The following is a 13578-nucleotide window of genomic DNA, read 5'->3' as shown; positions in this document are numbered from 1 at the left end:
TCTTTTGATAGGAATGGGTATTTCATTTTCACCATCCTGATATTGTGGCTTTCATTACCATTTCCCTGATGGTTAATGATGTTGAACATCTTTTCACTTGCTTATTGGATTGTTCTTTTCTGTTTGTTTTTGAGTTCTTTATATAGCCTAGATCTTTAGACTTTTGTTAAATATGTAGTTTGCAAATATTTTATACCTTTTCGTAGTTTGTCCTGTCCTACTCTTAACAGGGTCATGTGAAGGGCAAAGTTTTTAATTTTGAATGAGGTACAACAATTTATCATTTTTTTTTTCTGGATTGTGCTTTTGGTGTCAACTCTAGGAACACTGCCAAACCTTAGATCCTGAAGATCTTCTCTATCCTTTTTAAAAAGTTTTATAGTTTTACATTTTAAATTTAGAGCAGTGATGTATTTTGAGTTAATTTTTGTATAAGTTGTAAGGATTAGGTCAGGGTTCTTTAAGAAAAATATTGTTTTGGTCTATAGATGTCTCATTGCTTCTGTGCTATTTGTTGGAAAAGCTGTTCTTCCAATGAATTGCTTTTGCAATTTTGTCAAAACCAGTGAGGCATATATGGTTCTGTTTCTAGGTGTTCTACTCTCTGCAAGTGATTTATGTGTCTATCCCTCTGCCAATATCACACTGCCTTGGTTACTGAAGTTATGCAGTAAGACATAATGTCTGGTGGAGTGATTCCTCTCACTTTATTCTTGTTTTTGAAGATTGTTTTTAGCAATTCTAGGGTTTGTTCCTATCTAATTTTTTGTATAAGCTTGTCAACAAAAAATTATCCTGGGATTTTTACAGGGTTTACATTAAACCCACAGATTAATTTGGGAAGAATTAACATCTTTACATTTTGAGTCTTTTAATCCATGAATATAGTGTGTCTTCTTGTTTATGTAGATCTTCTTTGATTTATTTCATCAGCATTTTGTATATTTCAGTACATATGTCCTGTGCATGCTTTCTTAGATTTATATCTGAGGTACTTCATTTTATTTGGAGTCGTAAATGGCGTTGTAAATGGCATTTTAATGTTGATTTTTGCATATTCATTGTTAGTATATAGAAATGTACTGGATTTTAGGATTTAGACCTTGTATTCTGCAACTTTGCTATATGTACTTATTACCTTTAAGAAGGACTTTTCTTTTTGAGTCCTTGGGGTTTTTACATAGACAAGTATGTAGCCTGCAATTAGGGAGTTTTATTTCCTTTCCAGTGTGTTCGTCTTTTTTTTTTCCTTGCCTTGTTAAAGTGGCCAGAACTTCTAGCACATGTTGAATAGAGTGAGAGCCACATCCTTGACATGTTCCCAGTCTCAGGGCCTATATATTCAGTCTTTTACTGGTAAGAAGGATATTACCTAGAGGTTGAGATTGAGGTAGTTCTACATTTCTCCTATCTTCTTGAGAGTTTTTATCATGAAGAGGTGTTCGGTTTTGTCAAATACTTTTTCTGTGTCAGTTGATATGATCATGTGTTTTTCCTCTTTAGCCTGTTGATGGGGTGAATTACAATGATCAGTTTTTGAATTTTGGGTGAGTCTTGCATACCTTGAGTAAAAGTCACTTGGTCGTGATGCATAATTTTATACATTGCTGGGTTCAATTTGTAATTTTTTTTTTGTCTAAGTTAATGAGTTTTGTAGTTTTTAAAATAACATGTATGTAGCATAAAATTCAGCATTTATAACTATTTTAAGTGTACAATTCAGTAGCATTAATCACAATGTTATACAAACACCACCATTCTTTTTTCATTACCCTAGAGACTCAGTAACCATTAAGCCACAACTCCTCACTTCCCCCTACCCTGTTGCCCAGTAACCTCTAATCTACTTTCTGTCCCCGTGAATTTGCTTATTCTACATTTTTCATGTGAGTAGAAGCACAGTATTTGCCCTTTTTTGTCTAGCTTATTTCACTTACTATAATATTTTCAAGGTCCATCCATGTTGTAGCATATATCAGAATTTCATTCTTTTTTGTGGCTGAATAATATTTCATTATGTAACTGCCATGTTGATCCATTCATCTGTGATGGACACTTGGTGTTTCTGTTTGGAGACTTTGGGTACTATGGTCACGCATCACTCAACGTGGAAAACATCCTAAGTGGTGTTAGGCCATTTAATCATTGTGCTAACATAGAGTGTACCTACACAAACCTAGGTGGTATAGCCTACTACATACCTAAGGTATATGATACAGCCTATTGCTCCTAGACTGCAAGCCTGTACAACATGTTACTATACTGAATACTGTAGGCAGTTGTAACACAATGGCAAGTTTTCGTGTATCTAAACATAGAAAAGGGTACAGTAAATACAGTATTATAATCTTATGGAGCCACCATCATCTATGCAGTCCATCGTTGACCAAAACATTACATGGTACATGACTGCATTTAAATACTTTGTTTTAACAGTCAGCCTATTTAGGTTTATCATATAGGTCCTGACTAGGGCCTGCTGTTTTGGGCTATAGTTCCAGTAATAGCTTAGTTTTTAGAGCATTTGCAGTGCGAGCTTCAGAGTTTTAGTGATTTTCTGATACTGAAGCTGCTAAGAGTAGTTGGTGGTTCTTGAGCATTAGTTCTACATTTTATAACTGAAGTTTACAGATCTTTTTAGATGACTTAGATTCTTTAGGATAAGGTGAAAATTAATTATGGTATTTTGTCTTTAGCTATAAAATTAATTTTGAAAAACCTTTCTGGCTCATCTTTTTAGATGTATGGTATATATCCTGCACATCTGAATTACATAGGATTATATTTTGAGTTTTAGTAAACAACATGGGCATTAGCTTCTTTAGGAAGTTGATGATATTGAGTGGTCTTGATAAAATTAAAATATGGTTTATATGAGTTCCCTTGTACTTCTAATGTGGCAAGAAGACAAGTATATGTTACATTTTTCAGATAATAAAACTAATGAGGGAAGAAACAAAGCTTTGATCATAAAATGTCTTTAAGCTCGAAGGGACCCATGTGGACCTAGTCCAGGATGTTTTAAAATTGCTATTGAGCCCTTTGTTGAAACAAAATATTGAGCAAGTGTAACTGTAAAAGAGATATTGATGTATTTAACAATGTTGAATTCTAAAATAGCAGTGTCTTTTTTTTTTTTTTTTTTAAGACAGGGTCTTGTTCTGTCACCCAAGCTGGAGTGCATTGGCACTATCTCAGCCCACTGCAACCTCTGCCCCCTGGGCTCAAGCACAATGTCATTATCCTAACCAGAATTTCTTATCTTATGTTTTTCAGACTTGCTTCTAGGCACAGATTATTGACAAGCAAACCAGGAACTTTTACAGATTGTGATAAGAATTAAGATAGGGAATATAATAGAGGATAACTGGGCTGCTCTGAGAAGCCAAGGAGGGCCACACTGTGAGTGGGGTCAAGGCTGAGACTTGAAGGAGGAGAAGATGCCAGCCATAACAACAGCATGCTAGGCAAGGTGACTCTGTAACACAGCTTTGGGGACCCTCCTGAGGCCTGCCTGTGTGGCCCTTTCTTCTGTTCCTAGTTTTTGTAGAAGAAAGTTTAAAAATCGCTGATTTGACTAGTCCAGCCTTCTCCTTTTGTGGGTGAGGAGATTGTGAAGGCTAGAAGGTAAAGATATGCAATGACAACCTAGGTTCCTAATGCCTGATACCACCCCCCACAATATGGCATAAATTTTTCTACTAGTTATTTACAGCATTTGTTTTTTTCATGAGTTATTTTAGATGTATTAAAATTGCAAATTATATTTATTCATCAGTTGTAATATTCAGAAAAATACCTTCACCTAAAAGAAAAACAAAAACTTAGTAGACAAAGATTTGTCTTTAAAGTGAAAGATATTTTTAATCTTAACTAAATGAAATAGGGAAGTAAACAGTTTGTGAACTTCTGTTTTGAAAGCAAGTGTTCCTATTTTGAAACAACTGACACATTGACATTTTTACACTGATTATAAATGGCTTTGTTACTCACAGACAGCTTAGAGATGTGGGTCGGTGTGAGGAGCTTAAAGTAGATCTTACTGAGCCCAGCTTCAGAGTAAATATGAGTAGAATCGTAAAAGCCAGAAATGTAAATCCTTTTCTTTCCTTTGTAAATCTTCCTTTCCTCACTTATTGTCAGAAATATATGCCCAATTAAAAAAATTTGGTTGCTAAAAGGTGCTGTTAGTCATGAGCATTCTGTAAAGTTTATTTTGAAAATAAATAGGGATGGGTTTAGAAGCACAGATTCACATTGCCAGAATTCATACTTTTCTCTAGCCACTTTCTTGCTAAGTATATCTCTCTGTGTGTATTTCTTTACCTTAAAATGGATCATAATGTCTGTGTCATAGGGTTAGTTTGAATATTAACAACAGTGATCAGTAATTATTAGTTTATTTTTATTTCAATTACAGTTGTTTGATGCTTGAACTAGGGAACATCAGGAAAGTTTGGGATTCATTAACAGCATAAAATTAGGGGAAATATTTTTGGGAGAGGAAGCTGTTACTAGTTCTGGTTTTGAATCTGGAGATGTGATAACTTGACTGACTTTTGTTACATTTTATATTTTATAGCTTAATAACTGCATGTGAAATGATTAAGTCTGTATCTAGTGTTCTGTTTTTTGAGGCATATAATTGAAAGGTATTATAATTGGCTGTTTAAAGCAAAATACGTTAATTTGTTTTATGCCAGAGTTGAATCCTATTTATCTCTACATCTTTTAAGGAAAGCCAGTGATGTGTAACATAGTATTTTCCTTTTGAGACTTTATAATCAGCTGCTGTTATTAATTTTTTTAACTAACATTCATATTTTTAACATAACTCATACTTTTTAAAATATGAATTCATAATTCATAATAGAATTTTTATATATTTTTAAAGCTTCTGATTTAAAAAGCAGTATACCCAAACTACTGCCTTTATGTAGTTCTCTTCAGTTAGATCAGCATTTCTTCTGGCTCAATGGTGGGAACTCATTCAGTGGTCGTTCTATTGGAACTCTTAATAGCAGCCACCTATAGCTCGTTTCCAGTTGTTTCTTGTTGGTTTCCTCTGCCAATTAGACATAAAGCTTCTAATTAGAGGCCTTGACTTTATGTCTTTTACATTGTGAACATCTGGCTGTTCAGTTATTTCTTGTTAGTTCATTGTGTTCTTATGTTAATAAATTTGTCTTCAGTAGGGAATAACCAAAAAATTCTCTGGATCCTGTGAAATTTCAGTTTGTGTTAAAAAGTGGGGGGAACAGGTGAGGAATGGGATGGGTGAGCTGAGCAGAGCCTTTTATATTCATAGTCCTTTATTGTAATGAGTTTATCACTTTACTTAGAGACATTCTAAGTATACTGTGTCAGTAATTCTGTTGGAGCCATTAGCTCTGATCTTGATATTGAAATTCCACTATAAGCCAGGACTAGAGATAACATAACCAGAAAAAGGTCATTTGCATCAGTAAGTACAAATGCCAGTGCTTATTGTACCTGAGCAAAAAGGTGGGACATCATTCATGCTTTCAGTATTTATTGAATATTCTCTATATGCCACAGACTGGTTAGGGGATGAATAGAAGTGGAGCAGGTTGGCACTGTCATTGAAGAGAAACACAGGAAATGGAGGACAGGAGTTTTCCCAAAATAAAATCAGGATGTGACTGCTAGACTAAGGAGAAAAGGATGCTTGGCAGGCAGAAAAAACATCCAACGAGGTAATGTAATCTAATTAACTAGTATCTTATTCTGCTGCTTGACTGTCCACTTTTGTCATACCGGAACAGCCAGGTACATATGTGGGACAGTGAGTGTCTTCCCTGATTTCCAAAAGACCAACAAATGGGAGTCAGTGAATTCCATATTAAGCCAAATGAAATATCACATAGTTGAAATTCTGCATGTGAAAGTTGTCCCTTTTCTCCCATTTATTCAGCAATTTATAGCAATATGGGTTTATGGATATTTATTTTATACTTTGGGCTACATCTAGTACTTCTTCATTTTGTTGCTCAGATTGTTTCAGCTTTGGTCATTTGGGAGCTCTTTCTGTTGATTCTTACCTTCCTTTCTCTATCCCCATCAGTGTAGGATTTGGGTGGTTTTCTCTATTTTTTACTTTCCGGCACTATAGGATGCTCCATTCTCATCTCGTGTATTTCCTGCCCCTGTCCTCAAATCGGCCATTGCTCCAGGAAGCCCTGGTTTCTTTTATTGGAAAATAATATTAGAACACAAGATCTGAGTTCCAGGTGTGTTCTTTGCTATTGGCATGTCATTGCTTTAGGCTCTTAGAGCTGACAGAGCAAGGAAATACATGTATGTATACTAACCTATGAATATACACATCTATAAATATTCTTATATGTATGTAATAATGTATATGTTTCACTAAACATGAATTCTTACTGATATCACTGACTCTTAACCATTACCACCTGGATCATTTTGGCCTCCCCCGCCTTGTTTCTGTATAAATTGCTCTTCCAACAGTGAGACACCTGGCTCCCAGTATCCACCATCTGTGTACTTAATTGTTCGATTTCAGTGTACATGTATAGTGGCATCAGAATGGTTAACCCAAACTCCCATGGGAAAAAGCATTATTAACTAGAATACATTGCGTGTGTATGGTTTCTTTTGCCTTTAGTCTTACAGATTCTATTCATTTCCAGAATTACTTAGGTGAGCACTCTCCCCTCTCCCCCCACTTCAGTAAGGTTGATTCATTCATTTGTAATACAGTTAAATTGTTTTGTCATTTTATGCATTCCATCCTGGAGTCTCCCAGTCTTCTAAATAAATTTTTAAAATTTGCATACATTTAGATTCACTTTTTGTGCTGTGAAGTTCTGTTTTGACAAATGCATCATGTCCTGTATCCACCATTACAATTTGATAAAGAATGGTTTTACCACCCTAAAATATATTTGTGCTTCACTTATTCAACCTTTCCCATCTCCCCCTGATCTCCTAGCAACCACTGATCTTTTTACTATCTCCATAATTGTCCCTTTTCCAGAATGTCATGTACTTGGAAGCATACAGTATGTAGCCTTTTCTTTTAGTAATATTCCATTGTATAGATATACCACAGTTTGTCTGTTCACCTTTGATGGCCATCTTGACTATGCCCAGATTTTGGTGATTATGAATAAAGCTGCTTTAAGGAATTGTATGTAGATTTTTGTATGTAAGGTTTCAAATCAGTTCAGTCAATACCAGAAGCACGATCGCCAGATTGTATGGTATAACTATGTTAGCTTTTAAATATATTACCTTTGCATTGCTGTTTCTTGGATCAGAATAATCTTTTGCTATTTTCCCTGCCCACTTCCTCACCAAATCCCTTTGACTGTGGATCCCAGGTCATATCATCACTACAAAAAAGCAGATGATACCGAATTTCAGCTGATCATTTCTTGGGGGAAATATAATACTGTAGTGATCTTTTCTATATGCTTTTGATATTTTCAATTAATCTATCAGGGAAAATAATTAGTTGCATCTTGTTGAATTTGACTATTTTGTGCTTTCTCATAATATAACAGTAATGGATATTTTGAAGTTGATGCATATAGCCTGTAGGTTGTTGAAGTTACTTTATTATTTGTTTTATTTTAAAGTATTTCTTAGTTTGTAAAATTCTGAAGTATTAGTCATATTTTTCTTTTCAACCATCACCATTAAGCAGTCCATTTTTAGATATAAAATTATATTAATTAACTTTAAAGTCAAAGATGTTATGAAAATCAAATTTATGTTCCTGTAAGTGATGGTATGTTTTGTTTTCTTCACAGCATTCGTTCAGTCAGAGAGCATAATAGAAGTACTGCGTTTTGATGATGGAGGGCTACTACAGGTAATTTTTTTTTAAGTAGACAAGTTATTGTTAAGCCTTGAATAATATCTGGTTATTATTTTTCTTTTAAAAATGTAATTGGTTTATCTGAAATATATTTATATTTTATGAGCTTTGAAGATAGGTCAGTAGAGTCTTTAGTAATATAAAAACCTCTGTAGTTACGTGAGTTTTCTTTTAGATTAAATATTTCTTTAAAATGCAAACTCATTGTGGTATTAAAACCTTGTAAATAAGTACATTATCATTCTTATCTTTACGTAAGAGGTGTTGAGAAATGTAATAGAGAGTGGTTGCATAGTATTTGCCTAGAGTCAGCTTTGTATGTTTTAAAACTGAATAAAAACTGAACATAATGAGCTCTAATTTTATAAAGCCTTCCTACTAAAAAATGATCTTAAGTCTCTTTTTTCTAGTTCTTTAATCTGTTTCAAGGTGAGAACTTGGAGAACCTATGGGAACAAATGTTTTAAATATCTCCCTTTAGGTGGTTGTTTATAGGATCTGGATGGCAGACAAATCAGGACTGAATTTCTGGAAAATTCCCTAAGTGTGTTTGCTCTGTATTGATTGAGGAAGGATTTGTGTCTGTTAGGAACTGGACATCTAGGTTGCAGGTTGATAATCCATTCTAAAAATTCTGGAGCATGATTTGTATTTTTGCTGAGGGAGGCTGCTAATTTGTATCTAGATGGAGTTGGCTATGGAAAAGCTTGTGAACTGGGATGTGATTCACTAATAGTCTTTGGATCTGCTCAGATGCTTGGACAGGAGCTTGGGTGAGATCTCAGAATTCTGTGGCAAAGGTAATTTTGGTCTAGAAAAATGTTGAGGGCAAGTAGTATCAATTGGTTACTTAAGCCACAAAAAAACCTAAGACTCCTACAGAATGTCTAATATTGAGATGCTATATAATGTAGTATATGGCCCCTAAATAGCTGAATAGAAGACCCTTTTGAATAGATGTAAAATTGTTCATTTTAATGTTGAAGAGTGTTTCTCAGAAACAATTTTTATTTTGACATAATGTTATCTTTTTCTGACTGTAATTTACCAATAGGTTTAACGATTTTAAATAACTCCTGGTTTCTTATGCTATGATTAGAACAGAAAAATGTACATGTAGCATTTCTATGGCAGAATATATATCCTTTCTCTAATTTAAATTTAAGCTAAAGCAGGGAGAGTGTCAAAGCAACAACCTTGTTTTACATTATTTAAAATGTGAATTTTGCCCAAGAACATTCCTTCTTAGATCTGCAATTCATGTACATTCATGTGGCTTGGCCATAGTAATTTTTTTTTTTTTTTTTGAGACAGGGTCTCGCACTGTCACCCAGGCCTGGAGTGCAGTGGCGCGATCTCGGCTCACCACAAGCTCTGCCTCCCGGGTTCACACCATTCTCCTGCCTAGGCCTCCCAAGTAGCTGGGACTACTGGCGCCTGCCACCATGCCCAGCTAATTTTTTTTGTATTTTTAGTACAGACGGGGTTTCACCATGTTAGCCAGGATGGTCTCAATCTCCTGACCTCATGATCCGCCCGCCTCGGCCTCCCAAAGTGCTAGGATTACAGGTGTGAGCCACCGCGCCCGGCCAACTCATAGTAATTTTTTTAATCCTCAAAAATCAACTGATAAGAAATCAGTAAAAAAATAAATTTTAAAAATTGCCAAAAAGATTAGACTTGTTTTCTTTATTTTTAGATAAGGAAAATTAGGTTTATGGAAGTTAAATAATTTATTCTGTAGTACTCAATTGCTAGAGCAGGAATTCAGTGTCCAGTAAGTACCATACTCACCATGTCTAATTTCAAAACTCTCCACGGCACGATGCATGTGCAGTGCTCTCAGATATTCCATGGGTTTGCACTTGTTATGAATATAAATTATAACCCCCATAGATTATGTTTTCTATAGTTGATGCTTTGGCCATTGTCATTCCTGTTTGGCTGGACTAAGATTTAGCATCCAGAATACGTAAAGATCAGACCGTTCCTAAGATGACACGGACTCTGAGGAATCTGCATCTCAACAGAAGAAATCCACATTAAGGCCATAACCACAGGATGCCCTGGTCAGGTATCTCAAACCATCATTCCCATCCTAACTGATCAGAATGGTTGGCTCTTCTAACCTGTTCCTTTGAAAGATTATAAAATGGAATAACAAAAGATTCTTTCATTTACAAGCATAATTTAATAAACCTGAATCTGCTTCCTAATCTAACTTTCTTTTTAAAAAAAATAGAGGCAGGGGTGGACACAGTGGTTCACGCCTGTAATCCCAACACCTTGGGAGGCTGAGACGGGTCAGTCGCTTGAGTCCAGGAGTTCAAGACCAGCCTGGGAAATGTAGGGAAACCTTGTCTCTACAAAAAATTAGCCAGGTGTGTTGGCACACACCTGTGGTCCCAGCTACTCTGGTGTCTGAGGCAGGAGGATCGCTTGAGCCTGGGAGGTCGAGACTTCAGTGAGCTGTGATTGTGCCACTGTACTCCAGCCTGGGCAGCAGAGTGAGATCCTGTATCAACAACTACAAAAAAGTGTTCCCTGAGTTCAAGTCCCTTAAATTTATTTTGCACCTCATTTTAAAGGGGGGTTGAGAGTCCTGAGCTAAAGTGGTGAGCAAAGCCCCCATTATTGCCCAGCCATTCCTCCTCTAAGAGGTTCACGCCCTTGGCCAAAGTCCTCAAAACCTGGAGCATCTCAGCCCCAGCTCCGCATTGGAATCACCTTGAGAGCTTTAAAAATTTCTGGTGACAGGTACTTTCCTAAGGGCATTACAGGAACGAACTCACCTGGGCCTCACCAGCAACTGATGGCATGGTACCCAAGGGTCCCATTGTACAGGTGGTGGGATGTGGTGGGGACAGGGGCCAGGTGTACCACAGGCAGGGAGATGGTGGCTGAGCTGGGGTAAAAAATGCATGCCTGTCCCCACAGGGCCAGTGGACCCCCATGTCCTGACCTTGGAGGTCCAGAGAGCACATCAGAACTTGGCCAGCATACGGAGCTCCACAGCTGACTGACCACACAGTTCATAGAGACAGGGTCTCACTCTATTGCCCAGGCTGGTTTGCAGTGGCGCAATGACAGCTCACTGCAACCTTGACCTCCCGGGCCCAAGTGAACCTCTCGCCTCAGACTCCAGAGTAGCTGGGACTACAGGCACATGCCACCATACCCATCCAATTTTTTGTATTTTTTATAGAGACAGAGGTCTATGTTGCCCAGGCTGGCCTTGAATTCCTAGCCTCAAGCCATCTTCTCGCCTTGGTCTCCCAAAGTGCTGGGATTACAGATGTGAGTCACCATGCTCGGCCTCTAATCTAACTTTTTTTTTTTTGAGATGGGGTCTCGCTCTGTCACCCAGGCTGGAGCGCGGTGGCGCAGTCTCGGCTCACTGCAAGCTCTGCCTCCTGGGTTCACGCCATTCTCCTGCCTCAGCCTCTTGAGTAGCTGGGACTACAGGCACCCGCTACCAAGCCCGACTAATTTTTTGTATTTTTAGTAGAGACGGGGTTTCACCGTGTTAGCCAGGATGGTCTCAATCTCCTGACCTCGTGATCCACCCGCCTCAGCCTCCCCAAGTGCGGGGATTAGGCCACTGCGCCCGGCCTAATCTAACTTTTTTATATGAAGATAAAGGTCAGGAAAAAAGCTAGCTCTGTATTTTTTTCACTATCCTGCCAGAATAATAAATAGAATTTTAAAATTTTGGAAAGCAAGCTCTAGAATGTTTGTGAGTTGAAAACACAAACAGAATTTTGTCTTTTTTTTTTTTTTTTTTTTTTTTTAAAAAAAAAGACAGTGTCTTGCTCTGTTACCCATGCTGGAGGCCAGTGGCACAATCATGGCTCACTGTTGTCTCAACCTCCCAGGCTCAAGTGACCCTCCTCCCTCAGCCTCTCAAGTAGCGGGGACTACAGGCACATGCCACCACATCTGGCTAATTATTCATTTTTTATAGAGGTAGGTTCTCACTATGTTGCCCAGGCTGGTCTCAAACTCCTGGGCTCAAGCAGTCCTCCCATCTCAGCCTCCCAAAATGCTAGGATTATAGACCTGAGCCACTATGCCTGGCAGAATTTTGTCTTTTAAAACTTAAAGTCCTGTTTTATTTTATTTTTATTTATTTACTTTTTTTGAGATGGAGTCTCGCTCTGTCACCCAGGCTGGAGTGCAGTGAGCAATCTCAGCTCATTGCAGCCTCTGCCTCCTGGGTTCCAGCAGTTCTCTTGCCTCAGCCACCAGGATTACAGGCGTGTGCCACAACACCCAGCTAACTTTTGTAGTTTTAGTAGAGACAGAGTTTCACCATGTTGGCCAGGTTGGTCTCGAACTCCTGACCCCAAGTGATCCACCTGCTTTGGCCTCCCAAAATGCTGGGATTACAGGTGTGAGCCACTGTGCCTGGCAAAAGCCATGTTTTATAAATGGAATTCTAACCACTTAATTAGAGAACCTATATTGAGCCTTCTTGCAAAGAGTATACGATTTTGATTCATTTATTTTTTTTCTTTAAAGTGTTTATTGTGAGATATAATTTACATATAGATGCTTAAATTTGGGGAGGGAATGCAAGGCAAATACCTGTGTAACCACCACCCAGATTAAAAACTAAAAACAGGCCATTACCCTCCAAAGTTTCCCCTCAAGCTCTCTCCTAGTTACTACCCATAAAGTTAGCCATTTTCCAGAATTTTATAATAATTGCCTTTCCCTGTAATTTTAACATCTGAGTGTATATCTCTAAATACTACAGGGTCACATATTTTTTGAAGTTCATACAGTTTGTATTTTTTTTTTCTGGCTCCTTTTTCTCAGCATTATGTTTCTAAGATTCACAGCATTATGTGTTGAGTGTAACTGTAGTTACTTCAGTTTCATTGCTGAATAGTGTTGCATTGTATGGATATGCCCCAATTTATGTATTATTTCTGCTGTTTATGTGTATTTTGGTTGCTTCTTGTTTTTTGCTGTTAAGAATAATGCTGTCTCTTGGTGAACATAATATATGTGTTCAAATGATTTTTTTCTGAGGGATTAGAATGCAGTTGTTGGGTCATAGAGTAGGGATCCCCAACCCCCATGCCATGGACCAGTACCGGTCTGTGGCCTGTTAGGAACAGGGCTGCACAGCAGGTGGTGGGTGAAGAAGTGAACATTACCTCCTGAGCTCAGCCTCCTGTCAGATCAGTGGTGGCATTAGATTCTCATAGGAGTGCAAACCCTATTGTGAACTGCACATGAGAGATCTAGGTTGTGCGCGTGCCTTAGGAGAATCTAACTAGTGCCTGATGATTTCAGGTGGAACAGTATTATTCTGAAACCATCCCGCTAACCCCCCATCCATGGAAAAATTGTCTTCCATGAAACCAGTCCCTGGTGCCAGAAATGTTGGGGACCACTGTCATAGAGTATGTGTATCTTCCATTTTAATAGATAATGCATATAGTTTTCCAAAGTGGTTGTTTTAGTTTGCAAACCTGTCATCAGGAATTCCTCTGCAACAACTTTGTAAAGTGTTTTCTTCCTTCCCTCCTTCTGTTCTGGAGAATGGCTAATGATCTGTAATTTCCATTTTATTTTCGTTTCCCTGATTTCTCATAAAGCTGAGCAACTTTTCATGTTTACTTGACCATTTGGATATCTTCCTTTGTGACATCCGTTAAGTCTTTTACCCATTTTGCTGTTGGTTTGCATGTCTTTTTTCC

The 13578-nt window shown here is 37.6% G+C and overlaps 1 protein-coding gene across 8 annotated transcripts in view; it reads left to right on the top strand.

Annotated features, from left to right (window-relative positions):
• TMEM131 (transmembrane protein 131) overlaps nucleotides 1-13578 on the top strand; it is a 239613-nt gene that overhangs the window by 60662 nt on the left and 165373 nt on the right. For 7 of the 8 annotated variants that reach the window (XM_047443844.1, XM_047443843.1, NM_015348.2 and 4 more), the window contains exon 2: nucleotides 7800-7861. In XM_047443844.1, the coding sequence (XP_047299800.1) occupies nucleotides 7800-7861 (62 nt within the window). Of the gene's footprint in view, nucleotides 1-7799; nucleotides 7862-9571; nucleotides 9942-13578 lie in introns of those variants that run through there. The other variant, XM_047443845.1, reaches the window with a different exon arrangement.

The sequence above is a fragment of the Homo sapiens genome, chromosome 2 (assembly GCF_000001405.40).
Source record: "Homo sapiens chromosome 2, GRCh38.p14 Primary Assembly".
Lineage (NCBI taxonomy): Eukaryota > Metazoa > Chordata > Mammalia > Primates > Hominidae > Homo > Homo sapiens.
The sequence above is the reverse complement of the archived record's forward strand: the minus strand, read 5'-3'. Positions and strand labels throughout refer to the sequence as shown.